Source organism: Homo sapiens, chromosome 9 (assembly GCF_000001405.40).
Source record: "Homo sapiens chromosome 9, GRCh38.p14 Primary Assembly".
NCBI classification, from domain to species: domain Eukaryota; kingdom Metazoa; phylum Chordata; class Mammalia; order Primates; family Hominidae; genus Homo; species Homo sapiens.
Window position 1 is genome coordinate 129,488,503 of NC_000009.12, and position 25,499 is coordinate 129,514,001.

General features: G+C 54.3%; 1 protein-coding gene and 1 long non-coding RNA gene across 10 annotated transcripts, besides 14 other annotated features; both read left to right on the forward strand.

The window, feature by feature from the left end:
• Nucleotides 4-363: a silencer, noted in NCBI's record as "silent region_20379". NCBI's record gives its function as "represses an Ori minimal core promoter by ATAC-STARR-seq in GM12878 lymphoblastoid cells {active_cell/tissue: GM12878}" and the evidence as "EXISTENCE:reporter gene assay evidence [ECO:0000049][PMID:35858748]".
• Nucleotides 158-25,184, forward strand: LINC00963 (long intergenic non-protein coding RNA 963). The gene is made up of 5 exons (NR_038955.1): nt 158-797; nt 4,976-5,093; nt 13,895-14,637; nt 14,821-15,170; nt 24,917-25,184. It is a non-coding gene; the product is annotated as a long intergenic non-protein coding RNA 963 (long non-coding RNA).
• Nucleotides 1,316-1,975: an enhancer, noted in NCBI's record as "H3K27ac-H3K4me1 hESC enhancer chr9:132252097-132252756 (GRCh37/hg19 assembly coordinates)". NCBI's record gives its function as "activates a minimal SCP1, AML or CMV promoter by ChIP-STARR-seq in naive H9 embryonic stem cells {active_cell/tissue: H9 hESC(naive)}" and the evidence as "EXISTENCE:reporter gene assay evidence [ECO:0000049][PMID:30033119]".
• Nucleotides 1,368-1,662: a silencer, noted in NCBI's record as "tiled region #11907; HepG2 Repressive non-DNase unmatched - State 1:Tss, and K562 Repressive DNase matched - State 2:TssF". NCBI's record gives its function as "represses a minimal TATA promoter and a strong SV40 promoter by Sharpr-MPRA in HepG2 and K562 cells {active_cell/tissue: HepG2 | K562}" and the evidence as "EXISTENCE:reporter gene assay evidence [ECO:0000049][PMID:27701403]".
• Nucleotides 1,447-25,184, forward strand: LOC124900275 (extensin-like). 9 transcript variants are annotated; one of them, XM_047424328.1, is made up of 4 exons: nt 1,447-2,626; nt 4,914-5,093; nt 14,821-15,170; nt 24,917-25,184. In XM_047424328.1, the coding sequence occupies exon 1, from the start codon at nt 1,979-1,981 to the stop codon at nt 2,579-2,581; it is 603 nt and encodes a 200-aa protein (XP_047280284.1). In that variant the 5' UTR covers nt 1,447-1,978; the 3' UTR covers nt 2,582-2,626; nt 4,914-5,093; nt 14,821-15,170; nt 24,917-25,184. The 9 variants fall into 9 exon arrangements, with proteins under 9 accessions (XP_047280284.1, XP_047280283.1, XP_047280286.1 ...); XM_047424327.1 differs by having other exon boundaries at nt 4,917-5,093; XM_047424330.1 differs by having other exon boundaries at nt 4,976-5,093.
• Nucleotides 1,976-2,635: an enhancer, noted in NCBI's record as "H3K4me1 hESC enhancer chr9:132252757-132253416 (GRCh37/hg19 assembly coordinates)". NCBI's record gives its function as "activates a minimal SCP1, AML or CMV promoter by ChIP-STARR-seq in naive and primed H9 embryonic stem cells {active_cell/tissue: H9 hESC(naive and primed)}" and the evidence as "EXISTENCE:reporter gene assay evidence [ECO:0000049][PMID:30033119]".
• Nucleotides 2,636-3,294: an enhancer, noted in NCBI's record as "H3K4me1 hESC enhancer chr9:132253417-132254075 (GRCh37/hg19 assembly coordinates)". NCBI's record gives its function as "activates a minimal SCP1, AML or CMV promoter by ChIP-STARR-seq in naive and primed H9 embryonic stem cells {active_cell/tissue: H9 hESC(naive and primed)}" and the evidence as "EXISTENCE:reporter gene assay evidence [ECO:0000049][PMID:30033119]".
• Nucleotides 5,318-6,118: an enhancer, noted in NCBI's record as "H3K4me1 hESC enhancer chr9:132256099-132256899 (GRCh37/hg19 assembly coordinates)". NCBI's record gives its function as "activates a minimal SCP1, AML or CMV promoter by ChIP-STARR-seq in naive H9 embryonic stem cells {active_cell/tissue: H9 hESC(naive)}" and the evidence as "EXISTENCE:reporter gene assay evidence [ECO:0000049][PMID:30033119]".
• Nucleotides 6,119-6,918: an enhancer, noted in NCBI's record as "H3K27ac-H3K4me1 hESC enhancer chr9:132256900-132257699 (GRCh37/hg19 assembly coordinates)". NCBI's record gives its function as "activates a minimal SCP1, AML or CMV promoter by ChIP-STARR-seq in primed H9 embryonic stem cells {active_cell/tissue: H9 hESC(primed)}" and the evidence as "EXISTENCE:reporter gene assay evidence [ECO:0000049][PMID:30033119]".
• Nucleotides 6,919-7,719: an enhancer, noted in NCBI's record as "H3K27ac-H3K4me1 hESC enhancer chr9:132257700-132258500 (GRCh37/hg19 assembly coordinates)". NCBI's record gives its function as "activates a minimal SCP1, AML or CMV promoter by ChIP-STARR-seq in primed H9 embryonic stem cells {active_cell/tissue: H9 hESC(primed)}" and the evidence as "EXISTENCE:reporter gene assay evidence [ECO:0000049][PMID:30033119]".
• Nucleotides 7,432-7,481: a silencer, noted in NCBI's record as "silent region_20380". NCBI's record gives its function as "represses an Ori minimal core promoter by ATAC-STARR-seq in GM12878 lymphoblastoid cells {active_cell/tissue: GM12878}" and the evidence as "EXISTENCE:reporter gene assay evidence [ECO:0000049][PMID:35858748]".
• Nucleotides 7,502-7,631: a silencer, noted in NCBI's record as "silent region_20381". NCBI's record gives its function as "represses an Ori minimal core promoter by ATAC-STARR-seq in GM12878 lymphoblastoid cells {active_cell/tissue: GM12878}" and the evidence as "EXISTENCE:reporter gene assay evidence [ECO:0000049][PMID:35858748]".
• Nucleotides 7,720-8,518: an enhancer, noted in NCBI's record as "H3K27ac-H3K4me1 hESC enhancer chr9:132258501-132259299 (GRCh37/hg19 assembly coordinates)". NCBI's record gives its function as "activates a minimal SCP1, AML or CMV promoter by ChIP-STARR-seq in naive H9 embryonic stem cells {active_cell/tissue: H9 hESC(naive)}" and the evidence as "EXISTENCE:reporter gene assay evidence [ECO:0000049][PMID:30033119]".
• Nucleotides 8,162-8,361: a silencer, noted in NCBI's record as "silent region_20382". NCBI's record gives its function as "represses an Ori minimal core promoter by ATAC-STARR-seq in GM12878 lymphoblastoid cells {active_cell/tissue: GM12878}" and the evidence as "EXISTENCE:reporter gene assay evidence [ECO:0000049][PMID:35858748]".
• Nucleotides 8,833-9,401: an enhancer, noted in NCBI's record as "H3K27ac-H3K4me1 hESC enhancer chr9:132259614-132260182 (GRCh37/hg19 assembly coordinates)". NCBI's record gives its function as "activates a minimal SCP1, AML or CMV promoter by ChIP-STARR-seq in naive H9 embryonic stem cells {active_cell/tissue: H9 hESC(naive)}" and the evidence as "EXISTENCE:reporter gene assay evidence [ECO:0000049][PMID:30033119]".
• Nucleotides 9,402-9,969: an enhancer, noted in NCBI's record as "H3K27ac-H3K4me1 hESC enhancer chr9:132260183-132260750 (GRCh37/hg19 assembly coordinates)". NCBI's record gives its function as "activates a minimal SCP1, AML or CMV promoter by ChIP-STARR-seq in naive H9 embryonic stem cells {active_cell/tissue: H9 hESC(naive)}" and the evidence as "EXISTENCE:reporter gene assay evidence [ECO:0000049][PMID:30033119]".
• Nucleotides 25,185-25,499: the final 315 nt, after the last annotated feature.

Below are 25,499 nucleotides of genomic sequence, written 5' to 3' on the forward strand. Positions count from 1 at the left end.
GTGGTCCCGAGCGTCCCGTCCCGGCGTCCCCGCCCCCGCCCCGCGGCCGCCTCTCCACGCCCTGCCCCGGGCCGCCCGCCAGGCCGCCGTTTCCCGGAGCCGGCCCCCTCCCGCCCTCGCGGCCGGCTGATGTCATCTGCACACAACTTTCCGCTTCCCGGCCCGTCTCGGGGCCCTGAGTCATCGCCGCCCCCGGCCCCGACGCTGGCCTGCGGCGTCTGTTTGTGCAGAGCGAGGCCCCGCCGGCCGGGCTTGACGTCAGGCTGGCAGGGCCTGGAACGGCCCCGCATCGCGGCCCCCTGGGGGCAGGACGACACCGCTGGGGGCCGAGGGCAGGGCACGCCTTCGGAATCCGGCTTCGAAGCCGGCCGCCTGACCTGGGGCAAGTGCTTTCAACTCTCTGAACTTCGGTTCCTCATCTGCCAGTTGGCAGACGCTCAGCAAATCTTCCTAGACTCACGGGGCGAATTGTACAGTTGGGTAAATCGAGGCCCAGAGATGGCAAAAGGACCGTCCAAGGTCGTACAGCCACCCGGAATTACAATTCTTTTCTGCCGGGTCACACGCTGTCATCCACGTGTTACCTAAGAGAGCTTTCCAGCCTGTGCTAAGAAAACTGCCCCACATCATCTGCAGTAGGACGGGGGAGTTGGAGCCCTGGTCAGGCCACTCTGCTACTGACCACAGTTTTCTCATCTCTAAAAAGGCGCAGTAACAATATAATTACCGTATGCAGTCCCCCAGGATACAGGGTCAAAGGAGAGCACAACCATCGCAGTTGGAAGCCCATGGGGCAGGTGAGTCACTGTTGTCACTACTGGGGTCAATTTTTTTTTTTTTCTTTTTGAGACGGAGTCTCGCTCTTTCCCCAGGCTGGAGTGCAGTGGCGCGATCTCGGCTCACTGCAAGCTCCGCCTACCGGGTTCACGCCATTCTCCTGCCTCAGCCTCCCGAGTAGCTGGGACTACAGGCACCCGCAGCCACACCCGGCTAATTATTTGTATTTTTAGTAGGGACGGGGTTTCACCGTGTTAGCCAGAATGGTCTCATCTCCTGACCTCATGATCCACCCGTCTCGGCCTCCCAAAGTGCTGGGATTACAGGCGTGAGCCACCGCGCCTGGGGTCACTATTGAAGTTGGCTAATGTCACTATTGAAGTCAAGTGAGAGAGAGGGCCCTCTTGGAGTCAGACCACCTAGGTTCAAATTCTGGATCCTGCTTCCGGCTCCTTTCCTCTGTCCCCCTTCTCCCCTCGGTGCCCTCCAACCAGTGGGCCTGGGAAAGCGTGTTCATGCTGGAAATGCCTGCCCAGCCCTTGCCCAGTCACACAGAGCAAGTGCCCCAGAAATGTCCTGAACCTCAGTTTACTGAGGGGAAACTAAGAACCTTCTGGCTACAGCTCTTGGGCTGAGCAGGGATTAGGCTCGGGTCTGCGATCCCAGGCCCTGCGGCCTCCCAGAGGCTTGGTTGAGAGCTCTGGCTCTCACTCCCCCACCTCCACCCAGCACCTGCCCCGGTCCAGGCTCACCCCCTACCCCTCCACCTGGTCAGTGGTGGCTCGGCCTCCTCTCAGCCCCTCCACCCCTCCTGGCTGTACACACCCTCAAGCTAACGGAATTCAAACTGGTGGAGGAAGGCCTGCCCTGTCCCTCCCAGCCCCTGCCTCTCCCTCCCTACTCCCAGCCTCACTGGACCACTTTCAAGTCCTCCAGTGCTCCAGGCTCCATCTTCATGCCTCCAGGCCTTTGCACGTGCTGGTCCCTCTCCCATTCTCCTGGTTAACTCCTCCACCTCCATCCGAGCTAGGATCTTCCCCTGGAGAGTGTCCCGGTTAGCACTACCCCACAACACACACACACACCGACATACACGCCCCACATCACAGGGACCACATCCCACACAGGCACAGACACACTGCATGACGCAGATCACAGGCACAAAGGTGCATGCGTGCACACATACACACTCCCACTCCATATGCCAATACACTTATCCCCCTACTCCCACATCACACAGACGGTTCCACACACTCCTCACACGCTCTGGCCACACAGTAAACACACACAGACCACAGAGCTCATGTCTGGGCTGCCCTGGTGCCCTCCTCTGGGCTCGTGCCCCCAGCCTCAGCATTTACCCCCCATTGAGGGCAGGGACCCACCCAGCTCCGTTTTCCTCCATTTCAGCTCAGGGCCCTGCACCAAGTCTCTCCCAGTTGTTGCTTGGACCCGGACTCCTCCCACAGTCACCACTGTCACAGTCCCACCTCCTTCAAGGTCTCAAACACCCCTCCCCTGTTTCTGGCAGGAGCCGTCCTCACTCCCTCTATTGCCTCTCCAGACCCAGACTTCACCCTCAGGTCACCCTCACCTGGACTTTGGGGTGCCCCACACCCCGCCCCAGGCCCTGGCCTCTGGAATATTTGGAAACTTGAACTGGGCCAGAGGCTTAAGCTCACATCTGTCTGGAGCCTCAACTTTCTCCTCTGTAAAATGGGCTAACACTGAAAGAACCTTGCAGAATCTCAGCAACGTCACAGAGGACATTGTTAGCACAGCCAGCGGGCTCCTGCTGGGCTGAGTTTGTGGGTAATCCAAGCCTCGGCAGGTACAGTTCCTCCCTCAGGTGAGTGTTCCACCCCCAAGTGAGCATCCTGCTGCCCTTCCTGCAAATCAGGCCCCTGGGACACTTAGTGCTGAGCCTTGGGGGTGGGGTATTTGATCGGGGTTCCTGACAAGTGGCTGGGTTGTCTGTTCCCTCTCTTCAGAGGGAGCCTCCATGGGTGGCCTGGGCTCACATCGGCTCCTCCAGTCCAGCAGAGCACCCCCCCCTGGCTGCCCAGCTTGTTGAGAGAACTTGCTGAGCAGGACAGTGAGCCCTTCCTGGTGGGGAACCGGAATCAGGAGAAGACAGAGGGGAGGTGGCAGGCCCCAGGATGGAGGGAGGGCAGCTGAGCTGCCTGCCCTCATCCTCCCTGCCCTTCAGGTATTAGGGCCCTTCCCATGGCCCAGTAGGAACCCAGCGGCTCACCTGAGCCCGGACTAAGGATGGGGCATTTTACCCCATATGCAGAGATGAGAAACAGAGGCCCAAGGAGGGAAGGGACTGAACACAGGGTGGAACAGCCCTGGGCTGCGCCTGTGTTTCCATCCGCCTTCCTCCTGCCTGTGCTCGAGTCACGTGCTGGTGTGCAGGGAACAGGAAGACAGCCGCTGCCCTCACAGGCTCAGGGTCTAGCAGAGTCCACAGTGACCACAGGCGAATAAACAAAGGCAGTGAGACAGAGGTGGGCAAGGAGAGGTGCTGGGATGGGGAGCAAGGGGGTACCCATGCTCATGGGTATGAACACATGGACCCATATACCCATATGTATGTCCCAGAGTTTCTTCCAGAACTTTTTTTTTTTTCCCAAGACAGAGTCTTGTTCTGTAGCCCAAGCTGGAGTGCAGTGGCACGATCTCGGCTCATTGCAACCTCCACCTCCTGGGTTCAAGCGATTCTCCTGCCTAAGCCTCCCGAGTAGCTGGGATTACAGACGCCCTCCACCATGCCCGGCTAATTTTTGTATTTTTAGTAGAGACAGGGTTTCACCATGTTGGCCAGGCTGGTGTCGAACTCCCGACCTCAGGTGATCCGCCCGCCTCGGCCTCCCACAGTGCTGAGATTACAGGGGTGAGCCACTGCACCTGACCCCTTCTAGAACTTCTCTATCAGTTCACTCTCACATCTACACTGAACACCTTTGCCCAAGGCTGGGGGCAGAGTGGTTAAAAGCCAAATCTAGACTCCTTCTTGCTGTGTGACCTCGGCCAGGTCACTGTCCCCCACTGTGCCTCCCCATCATGTCCTCCTCTAAAAAATGGATGCATAGCCCTCAGGGCTGTTGTTGAAGGGTCCCTGAGATGACTGTGGAGCTCTTGGTGTGGGGACCCAAGCTCAACCCTGCCCCAAGTACTGTCCCCCAGCCCAACTGCAGTACTTGGCCCCCCTCAACTTCTAGCCTCCAGTCTCTGCCTGAACCCCAGCACCTGGCAGTTCAGCTCAGTTCATTTACGTAGCCCAGCCTGGGTTCCTGTGAGATGAAGGCCGGTCACAATGACAAGACTGCTGGGGACGATTGGGTCCCTGGCCAGGTACTCAGGTCTACAGCCTAACACACGGTGAGCTGTTTCCCAGCCACCCAACTCTTGGGCATCCCTGCAGGACCTCCACGGGGAGTCCTTGGCTCCCTGAAGGATGGATCATCAGAGGAGCTGCCAGGCTGCCAGAGCTGGAAGGGACCTCAGGGATCACCACTGTGGCCAACCCTCCACTGCACACACAGAAAAGCTGCAGCTCAGAGCTGGGCGTGGTGGCTCACACCTGTAATCCCAGCACTTTGGGAGGCCAAGGCAGGCAGATCACCTGAGGTTGGGAGTTCGAGACCAGCCTGGCCAACATGGAGAAACCTTGTCTCTGCTAAAAAATACAAAATTAGCCAGGCGTGTTGGTGCATGCCTGTAATCCCAGCTACTCAGGAGGCTGAGGCAGGAGAATCGCTTGAACCCGGGAGGCAGAGGTTGCGGTGAGCCGAGATCACACTATTGCACTCCAGCCTTGGCAAAAAGAGCGAAACTCCATCCCAAAAAAAAAAAAAAAACAAAGCTGCAGCTCAGAGAAGTGGAGACACTGGCCCAGGGACCCACAGCAAGGCCTTGGCCCAGCTGGGGCTAGATGGCAAGAGGTGGTTCAGCATTGGAGCTCCATTGCCTGGGTTCAAATCGGGGTCTGTCACTGGCCAGCTGTGAGCCTAAGTCTCTGAACTTCTCTGTGCCTTAGTGTCCTCATTCTGTAGAGTGGAGATAGTAATCATTCCTATTTCAAAGATTGTTGTGAGAAATAAGTGAACTAATACATGTCATATGCTTAAAAGCAGGGCCCAGGACACAGTGAGCATACAATAGACATTAGCTGCTGTGGTGTCTTGATTTCAAGCCCAGTGCAGATGCATCTGACTTACGAAACTTCAGTGACACCTGCTCTGTGCCAGACACTGAAGATGGAGCAGTGAACAGCACTGACCCAGCCTGTCCTCCTGTTGCCTGCAGGCCAGGTAGGAAACACACTGGAAACTGATAACTCCATGTGCTCATCGCCATGTGGTTTCTGCTGGTCTGGGGAGCCGGGGACAAAGAGCAGAAAACATGGTTCCAGGTAGAGGGGGGTAGCACGCATGAAGACCGTGAGGCAGAAAGCACACAAAACTGAATTGGAGAGAAGGCCCAAATGGCTAGAGCTCAGAACCCGAGGAGAGGAGAGGGGAGGAAAGGAGAGACCTCCAGAGCCTGGGGATGATATGTAGAGAGCCCGGGAACCAGCGCTGGTTAGAGAGGGAAGGAAGCCTGCAGCCTTGCATTTTAGAAAGATCTGGCTGGCTGAGCTGAGGAGGGCAGATAGGAGGTTAGGGTGGCGGAGGGGGGTTGGGGGGCAGGCAGAGAGTAGGGGCTAGGAGCCCAGGGAGCAGGCGGGAGATGGAGCAGCCGGATAAGGGGGATAAGGGTGGGGGGCAGTGGGGACAGGGTAAAGGGAGCTGACTCATTGAGGTGGGAAGCTCCCCAGGGTCGGCATTTGGTTGGGGCATGGGGAATCTGGCTGGGGCGGGGGTACATGGCTGGAGGTGATGGTTAGGAGCAAGCTCAAGGATGGAGGGAGACCCCGTGTCCAGCTCTGGCCACCCCAGCTGCCGCAGCACCCTGGGGCCATCAGCCCACAGACTTGAGCCCTGTGCTTTAGAGGGCAGCGCTCCTGGACCAGGGAGACATTTCCAGCTGGAGCCATGGGCCCCTTGACCATGATCTGGCACCTGGGGCCCTGGAGTTCCCTGTTCAATGGCCCCAGCCTGCGTCCTGTGTGCATCCTCCTGAGGGTTGTCTGAGCCACCTGTTTGGGCACCCCTAAACCCCAGGAGTGACCAGGAGGTGGCTGTTGGCAGGGGGTGTGGACAGAACATGTGCTTACAGCCTGGAGTGCCTACACCTGAGCATGCACAGCCCCTCAGGGAAAAGGACAGAACCTGGGGCAAAAAGAAAAGAAGAGGCGAGTGTGAAGCCGGAGGCCAGAGGCTGAGAGGCGGGCTCCCCAACCCGCTACAGCTCCTCCTGTGGTCTCCAAGGAGCCTGAGAATTCTAAACACAAACCCAGCCTTCCAGGTGTGTTTGTCCTTATGAAGGTGTATTTGTCAAGGAAGGAGGACAGAACTTTTTTTTTTTTTTTGAGACGGAGTTTCGCTTTTGTTGCCCAGGCTGGAGTGCAGTGGTGTGATCTCGGCTCACTGCAACCTCCACCTCCCTGGTTCAAGCAATTCTCCTGCCTCAGCCTCCCGAGTAGCTGGGATTACAGGCATGCGCCACCATGCCTGGCTAATTTTATATTTTTAGTAGAGACGTGGTTTCTCCATGTTGGTCAGGTTAGTCTCCAACTCCCGACCTCAGGTGATCTGCCCGCCTCAGCCTCCCAAAGTGCTGGGATTACAGGCGTGAGCCACCGCACCCGGCAACAGAACATATTTTATTTAGCAGTTTGTTAGCTTGATTTATAACTTGTAAATACCTAGACATGAGGTATGTGGGCCTCGGCTTGCACTCCTGCCCCAGGCTGACCCCTGGTGCTGCCCAGAGAGAAGCCGCCTCCCTGGGCTGACCCCTAACCAGCAGGCTGACCCCCAGGGGATCCTGCAGGCTTCTTCAGAGCTTCCTACTCCATGCACCCTCGCTGGGCTCAGTCCAGCCCCCTGCCTTTGTCTGAGGGTCCTCCTGCCTCCCTGTTTGAGGATTCAACTCCAGCCCCTCCCTGCCCTCACCCTTCTTCCTGTCCCTTGTCCATGGAGATCCTGGGCTCTGGTTTTATTTGGCCACAGTGGCATCTGTCACGAGCTGACCAGCTGGGTATGAGTCCTGTCCCTCCTTCCGGAGAGACGGAGAGCTCCTAGAAGCAGCGCCTCCCAGCAGAAGCAGAATCTTGCCCTGGGGAGGAGTACAGCTCAGAACCCGCAGACTCGGGGTCAAATCCCAGCTCTGTGACTTTCTTGATGCGTGACCTTGGGAGGCAGCTTTGCTGCCCTGAGCCCTGTTTCCTCCCCGGAAAACCCATAATAATAACTGTACCTCTTCCAGTGAGGAGACAAGGTGGAATAGAACGCAGAGCCCACGTGTGCCTGGCACTTGGCAAGTACACCGGGAAGAAGGAATTGGGAAGGGCAGGAGTTACATCATTCACCTGTTTACAGCTGAGCAAACTAGCGGAGGCTCGGCGAGGTGAAGCCAGTCCCCCAAGGTCACACAGCCGGCCGGCCGGCCGCAGGACAGGGGCCGAAGACGTAGTTGTCTGACCTGTGCTCTAACCACTGTGCTCTCTGGCCTCAAGCCGGCTCCCACACTACCCTTCCCTGTTCTCCGTGGCCCTCCAGCGCCTGAAAGCCGCTTGGGGGCCGCGGAGGCAGGTGGCATGGCCAGGGCAGAGTCCGCGGGGCGGAAAGGGTTAACGGGCTCCGCCGCATTGGGCTGTCCTTCAAGGGGGGAGCCAGCCAATGAGCGCGCGCCGCGATGAGGTAATGCCGGGACCACGCGGAGTGGGCGGGGCTGACGGGGACCCCGCAGAGCTCAGCGCTTCTTCTCTCCCCACCTACCCCTCACCTTTGACCTTGATGTACACCCTCCCCTCCCCCAACCTTACCCCTGCAGAGGCGCCCGAACTGAAAGTCGGCTGCAGGGCCGCGGGCCTCCCTTAGTCTGGGACAGGAACTGAGAGACGTCCCGGCCTCAGTCACACCCTCTGGGCCTCAGTTTCCCTTTCTGCAAGAAGCAGAGTGGGTGATCGCTAAAGACCCTACCAGCTGTGGACGTCCTTGGATCCCAGGACAGTTTTCAGCCCTTCCCTGCCCTTGGCCCGAACTTTAACGGTCCCAGCCCCGGCTTCCCCTCAGGCGGTGCCCAGTGCCAGGACCTAGGAGTCCCTCGGGCCACGGGGAGAGAGCCTCACCGGCCCAGCCACGCCCTCCATGTGACCCCGACCCATCCCTTGGGTGTCGCACCTGGCGCGCCCACCGAGGCCACTAAGCTCTGCTAGCTGCACCAGCAGCAGGACCTGCCGGCGTGGCGGTCAGAAGTCAACATTCATCCCACCGCCAGTAAAAATCGAGGGCCTACCGCCTGCCGCTCAGGGCCTCGTCCTGAGCCGTGTCCCGGGGCCGCCCGCGCCCGCCACCCCTCCCCCCGGGCCTGCAGGGAGCCGGTCCGCCCCTTTCGCGCAGTCCGGGCACGAAGTGGTTAACGCCTTTCCAGCCGAGCTGGCACCGCGCGGCCGGGCTTATTAGTCAGCTCGCGGGGAGGCGGCGAGGGGAGGGGAGGGGCTCTAGTGGAGAACCGCAGAAAGCTATTCTCAGGGGCTCCCGAGTGTGGGGAGGGCGGCTCAGCAGGAGCTGCTGCTTCCCAGAAAGTTGATTATTTTTAACCCAGGAAGAAGAAAGGAAGGAGGCGAGGGAGAAGGACTCAGAGAAAAGAGGAGAGGAAAAGAGAGGAGAGGAGAGGAAAGAAGTGAGGGCGGGGGAGGTCCGGGAAGGGGAATGGGGAGAGGGGAGGGAACGGGAAAGAGAGCAGGAGAGGAGGGGAGAAGGAGGGGAGGCAGCAGGGTGATGGAGGGAGAGGGAAAGGCAGAGCCCAGTTGGAGCTGGAGAAGCCAGCTGGCAGGGCCTGGGGAGGAGGAATGGATGCGGAGCGGGCACTGCCACCTCTCCCGTACCCCTGGGGCTCTGTGGAGCTCCATCCTGGCCTCCTGGTGCCCCAGCTGAGAGCAGCCCCCCAGCATCATCAACCTAGGCCCGGGCGGGGGCGGGGAGGGGGGCGGTGGGGCGGGGCGCTGGGCTTGGAGGAGTGGAAGGCACAAGGCAGCCGCAGCCCTGTTCTGGGGGCTCTCCAGCCAATATGTCCTTGCCCTTTGGTGGCCACTGGGACACAGGGCTTGGGAGCCCTAGGGGAGGGGCAAGGAGGCCTCCCCTGATACTCCAGGGTCTCTCCAGGGAGGGCTTCCTGGAGGAGAGGGTGGGAGGGACTGGGGCTCCCTTTTTCCTGCCTCTTGGTGGAGCCAGGCTGAAAACCAAACCCAGAGAGGGCCCCAGGAGGGTGCTGGGGACACAGTGACAAACAAGACAGCCACAGCCAGGCCCACACAGGGCAGTCCTACAGCAGAGACGGTAGCTGCACAAATCATGATGAATAAGGCATTAAAGAATGACAAGGGGGTAGCGGGCAGGGAGCACTGGTCCCCTGGGCCTGGCCTCCGCAGAGGTCGCAGAAGACCTCCCTGAAGAGGGTGCCTGAGGACCAGGGTGGCTGACGAGGGGAGGAGAGACTGGTGGAGGCAAGAGGGACAGGGGTGGTCTGGATGGGGACCCCCAGCCACAGACCTAAGAGCTTGAGAGGGGATCACTATGGCCAGTGGCAGGGAGGGGGTCATTTGGCCTGAGACCAGCCCTTGTCTTGTGGTGGCTGGAAGCTTAGGAAAGGTTTTATAGAGAAAAGAGACTAGATTGCCAAAGCTTACTCAGAATGGTAGGGACAAGAGTGGACACAGAAGCCGGTTGGGAGTGTGGCACTGAGATCCAGGGGAGATGGTGGCAGCTGGCTGAGACAGTGTGGGAGGTACAGGGGACAGGGCATGGTGTGAGGGTGAAGGAGGCGAAGGAGGGGCTGGGGAGGCTCCTTGGGCCCTGGCATGTGCAGTGGGTGGACACTGGTGCTGTCCCCGAGGCAGAGGACAGCATGGGGGAGCAGGTTCATGGGAGGCCAGGCATTTGTTTTGAGACATGGTGGGGGCAGCCAGGAACGGTGTGCCAGGGGGAGGAACAGCTTGAGCAAAGGTGCAGAGAGGAGACAGGCAAAGAGAACCACATGTGACATGGTGGGACATGCCGGAATCTTCCAGAGAGGTGGGCCACATGTGACATGGTGGGACATGCCGGAATCTTCCAGAGAGGTGGGCCTCTGATGCAAGCAGACGGGTCTGCCCTGGATCTGCAGGCAGTGGACAGCTATGGGCATGTGGGAGCGGGAGAGGGGAAGGGAGCTTCCAGCTCTAGACACAGTGAGGGTGCCCAGCAGCCAGGGACCCAGGCTGGTGGTGGGGGAGTGTCACTGGGGCAGGTGTCAGGGCCTTAGCTCTGGGACAGCATGTGTGTGTGTTAGAATGAGTGTAAAAGTATGAGAGGGAGTGCGAGAGTGTGTGTGTATGAGTGTGTATATGAATGTGAGTGTGTGAGTATTCGTGTGTGTGTATATGAGTGTGTGAGTGTATATGTGTGAGTGTGAGTGTATATGTGTGTGAGTGTGAATGTGTGTGAGAGTGTATATGTGAGTGTGCGTGTGTGAGTGAGTGTATAAGTGAGTGTGAGTGTGTGTGAGACTGTCCCTTGCACTAAGTGCCCTGCCCTCCACTTGAGGCACAACCCATGGGACACCTCCAACCTCTCCAGGACCAGGGAATGGCCCAGCCAGGCCAGACTAGGAAATGATGGATGGAGGAGGGCCTGGGCTGCTCCTCTGAAAATCCACCCCCAGCCCTGGTCACTCTGGAACCCTGGAGCAGCATCTGAGCCCCTCCTCAAGGAGCCCAGTGGCTGGAGGGCAGCGTCCAGGGCCACCTGCCTACCTCTTACTCAGGACCTGGTCTGTCCTCTCCCAGGATGGAGCTTGGGGTTCCTGAGCTTGGAGCTGCCTGTAATACCAGGCCCAGTGGCTCAGCCAAGGTCAGGTTCCAGACAGTGGCTGGGGTAGTGGCAGGAGAATGAAGGTCTAGACAATCACAGAGACTCTGGGAGGCCCAGAGAAAGTGGAAGCCAGAGAGGAACCCAAAGTCCCAGAAACTGCAAAGAATGCCAGGGAGAGGAGGAGAGAGAAAAAGGCCACGTAGCAGCCCTGAGCCCGAGAACATGTGCCACATTTTCTCTGTCTGTGGGTCTGTTGAGTTTGGCCCAAATGGCTCTGAGCTGACTCTGCAGCCACAAAAACTTAGGGCCTTGAAGGTCCCATCCAACGCATGAAGGACTCTCCCTGGGATGGAAGCAAAGAGGGAAAAAGGATTACAGGCACATGCCTATAATCCCAGCTACTTGGGAGGCTGAGGCAGGAGAATCACTTTAACCTGGAAGGCAGCGGTTGCGGTGAGCTGAGATCACGCCATTGCACTCAATCCACCACACCCGGCCAATTTTGTATTTTTGGTAGAGACTTGGTTTCTCCATGTTGGTCAGGCTGGTCTCGAACTCCCGACCTTAGGTGATTCGCCTGCCTCAGCCTCCCAAAGTGCTGGGATTACAGGCATGAGCCACCGCACCCAGCCGATTTTTTGTATTTTTATTAGAGACAGGGTTTCGCTGTGTTGTCCAGGCTGGTCTCAAACTCCTGGCATCAGGTGATCCACCCGTCTCAGCCTTCCAAAGTACTGGGATTGCAGGCATGAGCCACCGCGCCTGGCCCAGGCAGTGTTCTTTTCCCTATTTTGCAGATGAGAAGACCAAGGCTGAGAGAAATTTGTAGTCGGCCCAGAGCTATATATACAGCAGGAAGCTGCGGGAATTGCGATTCAAACTTTCAGGCCTGCTGTCTCCCTGGGAATTCTGTTCTCACTGCCTCCATATAAAGAAATACACGTGCAGGAGGCAGCCCAGAGCACCCTCCTCTCCCTCCCAAAAACCCACACAGTGATCCTGGCCAGGCCCCCTGGGCCCAGGAGGAGCCGTGTCCCCATTAGGCATCTCTGAGCTGTGCTTTCACATTGGGGTCCCCCCCACCAGGGCTGGTGGAACACAAAGGGGGGTGGCCAAGGCAGAGAAAGAGCCCGACAGGCCAGGAGCCGGCTTTTCTCCCTGCTTTCTTCCTCCCTTGCTTCTTTGTTAAGCTCCCTTTCAGCTGAACCGGCAGAGCCTGGGTGTTCCGAGCTGACAATAATTGCTGCGTCTAGACAGTGTCTGGTATGAGGCCTCCCTCTCCGCGCCTCACCGGCCTCCCCGAGGCTCCTATTCCCAGCCCCGCTGGCCCCTGCTCTGCGCCCTCTGTTTCCCACACCCCTGCCCCTATCTGGCTGCCCAGGGTGCCCTGTCCTGCCTCCCTGCTGCTCTAGGCCTCCCTCGAGTTTTCAATCCTTGCATCTCTTCCTCCCTCCCCAGCCGCACCCCAGGCGCTGGCCCCATTCCCTCCCACGGCCTGAAATTCAGGGAACAAAGGTGGTTTTGCATCTGGCTGTGGCTGGGAGACCTTCGAAGGAGACTGAGCCAGGCAAACCCTCCCCTCCTGGCTCTTGGCCCCCTAGGAGCCAGAGACTCACATTGCTGGCTTCTGAGCTGAGCTGGGAAGTTCTGGGATTGATGCTTGAGACACCCTTAAGGCTCCTTCCCTCGTCTTCCTATCCGGCCTGGATGGGAACCCAGAGAAATCAACGCAGGAAAGACTTAGGATAGATACAAGGAAGAACTTCCTGGTGACTCTGACCGGCAGACATGGATGGGATGGTTTCAAGAGCTTCAGGGGACAGGAATTCAGTCTTCACAAGGTCTAAGAGTTCCTCCTGCCAGGCTCAGATCTGCAGCTCTGGAAGATTCCCCAGAAGCCAGAGTCTCCTCACTGGTATCAGATGCTCAGGGTGACCCCGAGATAATAACAACCACAGCCAGCATTTGCCCAGCCCTTGCACCAAGTGCTGTGCAAACTCTGCATGCATATCAATTGTTATAATCCTCTCCAGGGCCCTGAGAAACAGAGAAAATGAGCTTATGATTAGTTCCATTTTACAGATGAGGAAACTGAGGCACAGAGGGGTTAAGTAACTTGCCCAAAGTCACCCAGCCAGGAGAGGAGAAGCCAAGATTTGAAGCCACAGAGGTTGGCTCCAGAGCCCCAATAACGACCAATGATAGGAACACGAAATGCTTAAAATCATCTACCCGGGACTGGGATGAGCCCTTGGCGTCTGGTGTTTCCTTGCATCTCACAGGCTGTTAAGATCCAGGGTTATGCCCACTATCTAGATGAAAAGAGAAGAGCTTGGGGCTGCAGGCTGTGACCAGATGGTGACCTAACTCCATGTCAGAAAGGCCGAGCCATCCAGGCTACTGGGCTGCAAGTAAAAGGCTCACTGTGGAGCGGGAGCTCAATACATGTGCGGGACCATTTCCCACTCCTTCCTTCTGGGCTTTCTTGGGCACCTCCTGCCCTGATCAAGCTGGGGGAGACAGAGGCCAATGTGTGGCTCTGTCCTCAGGAGACCATGGCCTAGAGGAGACTGGCAAAGCAGCCAGCTTCAATCTGGAGGAGGAATTGTGATGATGCAAGGGATATGGGACCTCTGGGAGCCAACAGGAGGGACCCTAAATCCAAGAAGGCTTCCTGGAGGAGGTGGAATCAACATGGCTTCCTGACAGATGAGTAAAAGTTAGGCGGGCCAAGAGGGGAGGGAAAAGTGCTCCAGGAAGAGGAAATCTACACATAAGAAGGTCTCAAAGTGGGAGAACAGGGTAATCTAGAAGAACTAGAGAAACTTAAGCAGCTGTGTCAGGTCAAACAGTGGGTGGGAATCACGAGGCTGGAGCCCAGCTGATCAGGAAGGCCGTCGAGTGCCAGGTTGAGAGCTGGGACTTATCCCCAGGCAGGGAGGCCTATTGGGAGACTGCTCTGAGAGTCCAGGCAAGTGGGGCTGTGTTGACTGTGAGGATGTGGAATGGAGTGGGGCTGGAGGACTGGAGAGGCCCTCAAGAGTTGTAGAAAGAGGGTCTCCTCTGATGTGGAGCTGGCCTGCAAGTGTGATGCTGTTCCAGACAGAGAGAACAGCATGGACAAAGGCTTTCTTTTTTTTTTTTTTTTTTTTCAGACGGAGTCTCACTCTGTCACCAGGCTGGAGTACAGTGGTGTGATCTCGGCTCACTGCAACCTCCGCCTCCCAGGTTCAAGCGATTCTCCTGCCTCAGCCTCTCAAGTAGCTGAGATTACAGACGTGTGTCACCATGCCCTGTTAATTTTTGTTTGTTTGTTTTGTTTTTTGTTTTGTTTTGTTTCGTTTTTTGTTTTTTTTTTTTGAGACGGAGTCTTGCTCTGTCGCCCAGGCTGGAGTGCAGTGGCCCCGATCTCGGCTCACCGCAAGCTCCGCCTCGCGGGTTCATGCCATTCTCCGGCCTCAGCCTCCCGAGTAGCTGGGACTACAGGCATCCGCCACCACACCCAGCTAATTTTTTGTATTTTTTTTAGTAGAGACGGGGTTTCACTGTGTTAGCCAGGATGGTCTCGATCCCCTGACCTTGTGATCCACCCAAGGCCTCGGCCTCCCAAAGTGCTGGGATTACAGGCATGAGCCACCGTGCCCGGTCAATTTTTATATTTTTTGTAGAGACAGGGTTTCACCATGTTGGCCAGGCTGGTGTCGAACTCCCGACCTCAGGTGATTGTCGGCCTTGGCCTCCCAAAGTGCTGGGATTACAGGCGTGAGCCACCGCGCCCAGCCGGTGGGCAGCCAGTTGTGTTCCGGGAGGAGGAGGACACCCTGGAAAGACAGTGGGGCCAGACACTGAACTGCCTTTGGAAGCAAGTAGGAGCAACAGCGAAGGTTTGCTGGCTCAGGTAGGAGGATTAATTGGAACGATTAAGCTGGAAGCTCTGTAAGACGGATTAGAGGGGCAAACTTGGAGGCAGGAAGGCTGGGAGGAGACCACTGCTGAGTGATTTTTCTTCCCCCACAGGTTCCCAGTCCCTGATTTCTGGCCACTCCGCCTTTCTGTGAGTCATTTTGTTTTTGTTTTTCAGAAGCAAGGTCTCGCTGTGTTACCCTGGCTGGAGTGCAGTGGCTACTTACAGGCATGATCATAGCATACTGCAGCCTCGAACTCCTGGACTAGAGCAGTTCTCCTGCCTCAGCCTCCAGAGCAGCTGGGACTGCAGACACGCACCACAGAGCCCAGCCTGAGTCATTTTGATTCTGTAACTGGCTTCCTCTCGGCGGGCAGGCTCACACCCTCCACCCCCAGCTGGAGATGGAAGGAGGATGCTCACCGCCCATTCCTCATGCAGGCCATCGATGGAAATGTCAGACAGTGCGAGTCCACGCCTGAACACTTCTGGGGTCCGCTCTGGGACTGACACTGGCAGATCCATCGGTGAGCTCCCGCCTGCCACCTCTGGGCCTGCATTGCGGTGATAGGGCCAAGGGCCTGGGCCTTCAATTCTCCAGACTTGCCAAAATGCTCAGCGCAGGCCTCGTCGGCAACTGCAGACAAGCAGAGGCAGCACCTGGGCTCTGCCTGTGCCTGGCACAGTGAAGCGAGGGTGGGGGCAGGAATGAGGGTCCTCTCCATGCAAGGGGGGAAGATAGAAGAACAAAATTTCACCCTAATGTAGTGTCTTTAGACCGTGCAATGTTGTGCTCCTGTTAGTCTGATATCAGGGGCTTGCAGCCTGGCAAAGGAAAAAAAACAGGCTGAGGCACATGATAGAAGACAGGCAGGGATGCCACAATCATAACCATGGCAAAGACCAGGATCAGAAAGGCCCACCATCTCTGACCCCAAATCCCTGGGCAGATGGTTCCAGAACTCAGAATTTTCCCAGTTGTAGAAAGATGGGGCCAGGTGCAGTGGCTCACGCCTGTAATCCCAGCATTTTGGGAGTACAAGGTGGGCGGATCACCTGAGGTCAGGAGTTCGAGACCAGCCTGGCCAACATGGTGAAACCCTGTCTCTACTAAAAAAAAAAAAAAAAATTAGCCGGGCGTGGCGATGCATGCCTGTAATCCCAGCTACTCGGGAGGCTGAGCCAGGAGAATTGCTTGAACCCGGGAGGCGGAGGTTGCAGTGAGCCAAGATCGCGCCACTACACTCCAGTCCGGGCGACAGAGCAAGAGTCCATTCCCCCACCACCAAAAAAAAAAAAAAAAGAAAGAAAGATGATGTGATACATATCACATATTTCCTAACACCCCCAACCAAACACATTTATGCATATGCATAAAGCAGACGAGGAAAGATTCTAAATAGGCTCTGAATCTCAGTTTTCTCATCTCTACAATGGGGCAGTGATGGCATGCACCTCCCAGGGCTGTTCTGAGAATCTGATGCCTCCCATTGCACTGGTGAGCCTGGCACAGGCACAGGTCCCACCCCAGGCCCTTTGAACTGGCTGTTCCTTTGGCCTGGAACATTCCTCCCCAGATACCTCCTGAGAGGGCTCCCTCACTTCCTTCAAGGCACTGCTCAAATGCTACCTCTTCACAGAGGCTTTCCCTGACCACCCCGTCTCTTTCCTCTTCCTGCATAGCCTCTGTCACCTGACATTTTATGTCATAAATTACTCATTTATTAATTTCCTGCTCTCCCACAGTGGCACCCGAGCTCTGTGAGGGCAAGACTTTGTTCGGTTGTGGGCTATGCCCCCAACCCCTCGGACAGTGCCTGCACAGGTGGACATTTTTGTTGGATGAAGGATTTTCTGTTAAATGTGTCTGGCACACACAGAAAAACAAAGCCCAGCAGGTACGATGGTGATTATTATTGTTACTGGTGGCGCTCTATTATTGTTATTAGTGTCTGTTGAAAAAGACCCTGAGCTATACCAGCCCTTGGTTCTCCAGCCTGTGAAATGGGCATCCTGGGCACTGAGGCACTAGCCTTGGGAAGCTGATAGGGGGTCCCTGCAGGAGAGACAAAGAACACTGCCCACCCCCCCGGGGGAGCCTGCGCCCCTCACCGGAAAGAGAAGCAGGGGGGAGCAGAGGGAGCTTGCAGCCCCACACGCAGGGCTGCCAGAAGGCCATACATAATTCATTGCCAAATGGGGCTGCGGGCGGCTCTCCGCGGCGTGCGCTGGGGGCTCACTCTGCGCCTGGCACTTCGCTGACTGCGCCTCACACGTTGCCTCATTGCATCTTCATGGATTTGCAGGGTGTGACCCTTCCCCCTGTTTTACCCAGGGGGATCCTGAGGCTCAGAGGATGGGGCCACCGTGCTAGTCACACAGCCTCTCTGTGGCCAAGCTGGGCCTCGGGCCAGCAGATTCGGCCCCCAGCGGCCCCCATTCACTGCCTCTCTGCTGAGGGAAAAGACGGGCCTGGGGAGCGGGTGGGAGGCACAAAGGAGACCCCGCTCTGAGACAGGCTGCAGAAGAGGGAGCTGGGTCTCAGCAGGGCTGGGGAAGGCTCTGGCCCCAGCCCTCCGCCCAACCCCCTGCCCTCCTCTCCTGGAGGAGATGCTCCCCAAATTAGCCATCATGAGCGCTGGCTCTGGGGGTTGGGCGTTGGGGAGCAGTTTGCTCAGCTGTAAAATGGGAATAACAGAAGCCGTCCCTGGGACTATGAGATCAAGGTGCTCAAGAAAAGTGGTGTCTGCTGAGGGGAAAAGCCAGTCCCAAAAGGTTGCATACTCTCATTCTGTTTATTTGTTTTTGTTTTTGAGACAGGGTCTCGCCCTGTCACCCAGGCTGGAGTACAGTGGCGCAATATGGGCTCACTGCAACCTCCACCTCCTGGGCTCAAGTGATCCTCCCATCTCAGACCCTCAAGGAGCTGGGGCTACAGGCACGTGCCACCGTGTCCGGCTAATTTTTGTATTTTTTGTAGAGACAGGGTTTCACCATGTTGCCCAGGCTGGTCTCAAACTCCTGAGCTCAGGTGATCCGCCTGCCTTGGCCTGCGATAAAATTGCACAGAAGTAAATACACACACGTGAGGATACGGAAAACCGGGGAAACCTGAGCAAGAGCAGTCAGACCCCGGCTGTGATGGCGCCCAGTAGTTCTGCGAGATGTTACCATTGGGGAAACTGAGTGAAGGCGGGTACCTGGGATCCCTCTGTTTTCTTTTTTGTTGTTGTTGTTATTTTGAGATGAAGTTTCCCTCTTGTTGCCCAGGCTGGGTGATCCACCTGCCTCGGCCTCCCAAAGTGCTGGGATTACACGCGTGAGCCACTGTGCCCAGCCTCTCTGTTTTATTTCTTCTTTTTTTTTTTTTTTTTTTGGAGACGCTCTGTCGCCCAGGCTGGAGTGCAGTGGCACGATATTGGCTCACTGCAAGCTCCGCCTCCTGGGTTCACACCATTCTCCTGCCTCAGCCTCCCGAGTAGCTGGGACTACAGGCGCCCGCCACCTCGCCCGTCTAATTTTTTGTATTTTTAGTAGAGGCGGGGCTTCACCGTGTTAGCCAGGATGGTCTCAATCTCCTGACCTCGTCATCCGCCCGTCTCGGCCTCCCATAGTGCTGGGATTACAGGCATGAGCCACCACGCCCGGCTGTTTTATTTCTTATAACTGTACAGGAATCTACAATGATTGTAACAAAAATTTCAATTAAGGCCACTCTAGGCACATGGCCTGTGGGGTAGCCCTGCTCAACAAGAAGCCGTCAAAAAAATGTTTTTTAATTAAAAAATTTCTTCAATTAAAAAGCGTTATCTTCCTCTGCCCGGAAAGGGTTAAGTGAGTCACTGCAGTTAGCTCCCCTTCCCCCACAACCACCTAGACCAGGCCAGGGACCAGCGGGCAATTGCCTGGCAGCTGGAGTTTTCCTCCACTGTGGACTGTACTTCTTGCGTCACTCTGAATGTCTCCAGTCTTTATTCCAGAATGTTCTGGTCCTCTCCCACTTTTCCAAGGACAGGAATTCCCTAGTGGGGCTCCAGAAGAGGCTCTGGAGGAGAACAAGAAAGGCCCTTGTCATCCATTGGCCTCAGGCTGGGAAATCTCGGTTCCACTCCCAGCCCAGCCTCAATATTAGGTTGTCAGTCTGGAGTCTGAGAGCCATGCCCCCACCCCCTTAGTCCTTCACCTCCAGGAGAGTTGGGGATACTGGAAAGAATGTTGAGTGTCAGAGCCCCTCTCAGTGGCTCACGCCTGAAATCCCAGCCCTTTGGGAGGCTGAGGCAGGTGGATTGCTTGAGGCCAAGAGTTCAAGACCAGCCTGGCCAACGCGACGAAACCCTGACTCTACTAAAAATACAAAAATTAGCTGGGCGTGGTGGCACACACCTGTAATCCCAGCAGCTCGGGAGGCTGAGGCAGGAGAATTGTTTGAACCTGAGAGGTGGAGGTTGCAGTGAGCTGAGATCACAACACTGCACTCAAAAAGTAGTTAATTAATTTAGTTTAATTAAAAAAGAATATTGAGTGTCAGGCAATCTGGGTAGAACCCATTGTGTTTCTACAGGATAGAATCTGCTGTGTTCTCTAGCGGAACTTCCGGATCACCTTCACCGTATGACTCTAGACAATCCCTGTCCACTCTTCAGTTTTAGATGCCCCATTCAAAGAATGAAAGAATTGTCCTAGATGATCCTTTAGGGTCTTCCAGGCTGATGACAAGGGGGACCTGGCCCCTCTGCTGCTGGCCAAAGAGGACTTTACTTCCCATTCCGTGTGGTTGAACAAGAATTGCTGGGCTCCAGTCCTGCCTTTGGCCCTTCCCTACATGTGACCTTGGGCCCTCTTTGCCTTTCAGAATCAATACAGTGAGAGAGTTAACACAAGCTCAGGTTAGTAAGTCATTCAACAAACATTTACTGAGCGCTTATCAAATACTGCATGCTGGAGTGGACACTGGAGAAAAAGGTGAGGAGAAGGCCGGGCGCAGTGGCTCGTGACTGTAATTCCAGCACTTTGAGGGGCAGAGGCAGGTGGATTACCTGAGGTCAGGAGTTTGAGACCAGCCTGGCCAACATGGCAAAACCCCGTCTCTACTAAAAATACAAATATTAGCCAGGCATGGTGGTGCATATCTGTAGTCCCAGCTACTCAGGAGGCTGAGCAGGAGAATCACTTGAACTCAGGAGGTGGAGCGTGCAGTGGGCCGAGATTGCACCTCTGCACTCCAGCCTGGGCAACATAGTGAGACTCTGTCTCAAATAAATAAATAAAGTGAGGAGAAAAAAATACCATCTCTGTCTTCACAGAACTTATAGTTTGAGAGGGGAGAATCCCACAAGTAAATTATAAATCTCAGCTGAGATTATGCAAAGAAGCAAAGGCCGGACGTGGTGGCTCACGCCTGTAATCCCAGCACTTTGGGAGGCCGAGACGGGCGGATCATGAGGTCAGGAGATTGAGACCATCCTGGCTAACACGGTGAAACCCTGTCTCTACTAAAAATACAAAAAAATTAGCTGGGCGTGGTGGCGGGCGTCTGTAGTTCCAGCTACTCGGGAGGCTGAGGCAGGAGGATGGCGTGAACCCAGGAGCACAGGTTGCAGTGAGCCGAGATGGCGCCACTGCACTCCAGCCTGGGCGACAGAGCGAGACTCTGTCTCAAAAAAAAAAAAAAAAAAGGAAGCAAAGTGCCCAGCTGGGATGGTGGTTTCAGAGGCCACAGTGGGAGCTTCCCAGAGAAGGGATGATTGAGCTAAGTCTAAGCAAAAGGGGTGGTCAGGGCAGCAGCTGCTCCAAAACAGGGGCTGGGGGCTTATGTGGAGAGAGAAGACATGGAGAGACCATGCCCAGAAGGAGGCGGCGGCTTCAGTGAACAGTGCAGGGGAGCAGGTCCGAGGAGGCCGCCTACCAGGGGAAGGAGTCTCATCTCCATCCTAGACAAAAAAAGGATCTTTTGAGATGCATTAAGCAGGGGAGTCACAGATTGGATTTGTGTTTTGAGAATCTCCTGCTTACCTAGAGAAGAAGGGCATCTCCTGGGCCCTCACTGTTGCCTTAAATGATTTTTATTGTGTATTACTTAAACATGTGCAAGCATAAAATGAGATATAAACTCCTTGTAGCTCTTATACAAGCATCAGACCAAGACAAATTGACCCATCACGTACAAAATCGATTCAAATCAGATTAATTTTATGTGACATGTTATTATGCCTTTTGTCTGAAACCCTGCCACCACCCACAGTGCAATTATGGCCCAACCACTGTGGTGTTCTGAATTTGTGGGACAGAGAATATTGGCCTTTTAAACACGTGCATGCATGCATTTGCGTGTGCGCACACACACACATCCCAAATGATTTTTTCCCACTATATATGAAGAACTCCTACAAACCAAAAAGAAAAAGGCAGACAATTCAAGAGAAAAATGGGGGAGGGCTTGCATTAAAGTACTTCATAACAAGAGTACTTAGGAGGCCAACAAATACACGAAAAGCTGCTAGCTTCATGACTCATGGGGGTGGCTTGGTCAGTTCAGGATACTGTAACAAAATACCTTAGACTGGGAAATTTATAAACAACGGAATTTATTGCTCACAGTTCTGGAGGCTGGGAAGTCCAAGATCAAGGCAGCAGTAGATCCGGTGCCTGAGCCCGTTCCCTGCTTCAAACATGGCACCTTCTTGCTGTATCCTCACATGGTGGAAGGGGGAAGACAGTTCTCTGGGGCCTCTTTTATAAGGGCAGTTATCCAATTCACAAGGATAGAGCCCTCATGACCTAATCACCTTTCAAAGATCCCCATCTTCTAACACCTTCTAACACCATCACCTTGGTGATTAGGTCTTTTTGTTGTTGTTGTTGTTGAGATGGACTCTCACTCTGTTGCCTAGGCTGGAGTGCAGTGGCGTAATCTTGGTTCACTGCAACCTCTGCCTCCCGGGCTGAAGTGATTATCCTGTCTCAGCCTCCCAAGTGGCTGGGATTACAGGCGTGTGCCACCATGCCCGGCTAATTTTCATATTTTTAGTAGAGACAGGGTTTCACCATGTTGGTCAGGCTGGTCTCGAACTCCTGACCTCATGATCCGCCCACTTCGTCCTCCCAAAATGCTGGGATTACAGGCATGAGCCACTGCACCCAGCCGATTAAGTCTTAACGTATGAGTTTTTGGGAGAAACTCAAACATTCGGACAATAGCAAGGAGAATACAAAACCACAGTGAGCTACCGCTTCAGACACCAGAGAAGTTTAAGTGAAAAAGACTGGCAATACCAAGTGCTGATGAGGATATGGAGCAACCAGAACTCTCAGACATTGCTGATGGGAATCTAAATTAGTATAACCACCACGAAAGCATCCGTAAGGTTTAATTGTGTTGAACACACCCTGCCCTCTGACCAAGCATTTCCACTCCTGGGCATACAGGCAAAAGAAATGCATCCACGTGTTCATCAAAAGATGTAACCTGTGCCAGGTGAGGTGGTTCATGCCTGTAATCCCAGCACATCGGGAGGCCAAGGAGGGAGGATTGCTTGAGCCCAGAAGTTCGAGAGCAGCCTAGGCAACAAGGCAAAACCTCGTCTCTACTAAAAAGTAGCCAGGCATGATGGTATATGCCTGTAGTCCCAGCTACTCAGGAGGCCAAGGCATGCAGATTGATTGAACCCGGAAGGTGGAGGCTACAGTGAATTGTGATCTCGCCACTGCACTCCAGCCTGGGTGACAGAGCAAGATCTTGTCTCAATTAAAAAAAAAGGAAGAAAGAAAGACATAACCTGGAATATTCACACCAACACTATTCAGGATAGCCCTAAACTGGAAAGAATCTGAATATCCTCCGGCTTTAGAACAGAGAGAAATTATAGACTATTCATTCATACAGGGGATGATTGATCAGCTTTAAGAATAAACAAACCGTACACAACAATATAGATGAATCTACAACCTTAATGTGCAAAATAGTTCACATATATAAAGGACAAAAACAGGCAAAACTACTCCATGGTGTTAGAAATAGGGGTAGAGGTTACCCTCATGCGGCAGGAGGGTTAGTGATAGGGGATTTGGAAGAGGAGGAGCCCAATGGACTGAACAGCTGAGCTGGAAACAGCAATTTGTTCCTTAAAGTTCTGAACCCAACTGTTATCCAGCATGGAGTCTGTCTGGAGAGGCCAGATGTGGGGCCTCTCACAGGGGAATGAGAAGTGCCTCTCAGGGTCCCACCCATGATCCCCCTTTCCTTGCCCACACAACCACCAACTGGCAAGTAGTAACCCAGGACCTGTAGCCCCCACTGGCTTGACACAGAGCATAATGCAAGCTTTTCCTGCTCCAGGTCCTGGACACCACTTTGCCCTTTGCCCCACACGTACAGCCCCCTGACCAAAAGCTGGGTACTCTGGCTTGACTAGAGGGAGCTAGACTCCAGGAATAAGTAAGGAGCTGGGCTTCCACGCTAGAGAACAAGAGCTTCTCTGGGGAAAGGGGCTTCCCATGAAGCCCTGGGGCACTGGGAGATTAATGGGCAGACCTCTGGCCTCAGCTTCCAGGGAAGGGGAGGGTGTGGGCCAACATGCGGTGGCTACACTGACCACAAGCCGATGACCCCAGCCAGCCTCAGGATGTCTCAGCTCTAGGCATGGTTTTTCGTTTTGTTTTGTCGTGTTTTGTTTTTGAGATGGAACCTCGCTCTGTCGCCTAGGCTGGAGTGAAGTGGCACCATCTCGTCTCCCTGCAACCTCCACCTCCTGGGTTCAAGCGATTCTCCTGCCTCAGCCTCCTGAGTAGCTGAGATTACATGTGCGTGCCACCTTGCCCAGCTAATTTTTGTATTTTTAGTAGAGATAGGGTTTCATCATGTTAGCTAGGCTGGTCTCAAACTCCTGACCTCAAGTGATCTGCCTGCCTCAGCCTCCCAAAGTGCAAGGATTACAGGCATGAGCCACCATGCCCGGCATAGGCATGGTTTTGACAATCTGTCTCTTTGTGCCCTGGCTCCTTCTCCAACTCCTCTTTGGAGGAGGCACAGGAGGAGGGGTCATTTCACTGTTCCTGAAAAGTAGACATATAACCTACATGCAACTGCCAGGTGATAAGGGCCCCATCTGTCTGGCATGACGTTGGAGGTCCACAAAGGCTGATTAGATGAATGCTCAGCTCTGGGGCCTCCCCACAGAGCTCACAGACAGGCGTGAAGGAAAGCAGGACTCTTATTAGAATATGTTCAGAGTTTTCACTGAAGAAGCCTCCTGTGTGGGCCAGGCACTGTGCTCAGTGCTTTGATTCACAGTCTCATTTAATTCTCACCATTTACAGACAAGAATTCAGCTAAGATCCTTTTCAATCAAGTCTGGCAATATCTGCCTTTCAATGGCAGTGCCTAGTCCTTTCATATGTAATATACTTATCATTATGGGTGGGTTTAAGTTTTATCATCTTGCTATTTGTTATCTATTTGTCCCCCCTCTTTTGTTCCTCCTTTACTGCCTTCTATTTGGTTGAGACTTAATAAAATATTTTATTCCATCTTCTCTACTTACTTTTTAGCTATGCCTCCTTATATTTTTGGTTGCTGGAGTGTTACAATATGCATTCTTCAATATCCAGTCTACTTTCCAATAATATTACACCACTTCATGTATAACGTAAGAACGTTACAAAAATATAATGCCAGGGCTGGGCGCAGTGGCTCACGCCTGTAATCCCAGCACTTTGGGAGGTCGAGGCGGGCAGCTCACCTGAGGTCAGGAGTTCGAGACCAGCCTGACCAACATGGAGGAACCCCATCTCTACTAAAAATACAAAATTAGCCGGGCATGGTGGCTCATGCCTGTAATCCCAGCTACTCAGGAGGCTGAGGCAGGAGAGTTGCTTGAACCGGGGAGGTGGAAGTTGCAATGAGCCAAGATTGCGCCGTTGCACCCCACACTGGGCAACAAGAGCGAAACTCCGTCTCAATAAATAAATAAATTAAATAAACAAATATATATATATATATATATGTAATGCCATCACATCTTCTCCGGCCTTTGGTGTTATTGTGGTCATATACTTTATTTTTGTATGTCTTATAGATCCCAGAATGCATTGTTATTTTTACTTTAAAAGGTGGATTAATTTTTAAAGAATTTAAGAAAAGAAAAACAGTCTTTGGACTGCTGGCCACAAATTCTCTGTTTTATTTATCCCCAAATAGTTTTATTTTTCCATTTTGAGAGAGATTTTCACTGATACCATTCGGAGTTAACAGATTTATTCTTTCATCACTTTTCAGATGCCGTTCCATTGTTTGCTGACTTTCATTGATTCTATGAGAAGTCTGCAGTCTTTTGCAGCGTTGTTTTCCTATGTATAATTGTCTCCTCCCACCCCACTCACCCCAGCTGCTTTCCACATTCTCTCTCTTTGATTTTCAGCAGTCTGCCCATGATGTGCCTAAATAGGACTTTCTTTGCATTCATCTTGGCTGGGGCTCACTGAACTTTCTGAATCTGTAGATTAATTTTCTTTTTTCAATAAACCTTGGAATATTTTCAGCATAATTTTTTTCCTGTCTTCTTCTCTCTCTTTTCTCCTCTGAAATGCCAATTAAATATATGTTAGACTGCTTTATCCTGCCCCACAACTTACTGAGGCGAAATTTTTCAATCACTTCTCTTTGTGCTTCTGATGACACTGGTGGCCCATCTGGAGTGGCCGCTGCCATCACACCAGCTGCAGGGGGAGGTGCAGCCAGGCTGCACATTCCATGGAGCCAGCAGGAACTGCAGACAGGTGGGAGCCCCACCTCTTCTGAGCTAGTGGGGCAGGAGCTCCCTGGATGCAGCCGCAGCCACCCAAGTTATGCCTGTGGACCC

Coding starts and splice junctions, on each gene's coding strand:
- LOC124900275 (XM_047424328.1), top strand. CDS start 1,979: ATGCCAATACACTTATCCCCCTACTCCCACATCACACAGACGGTTCCA.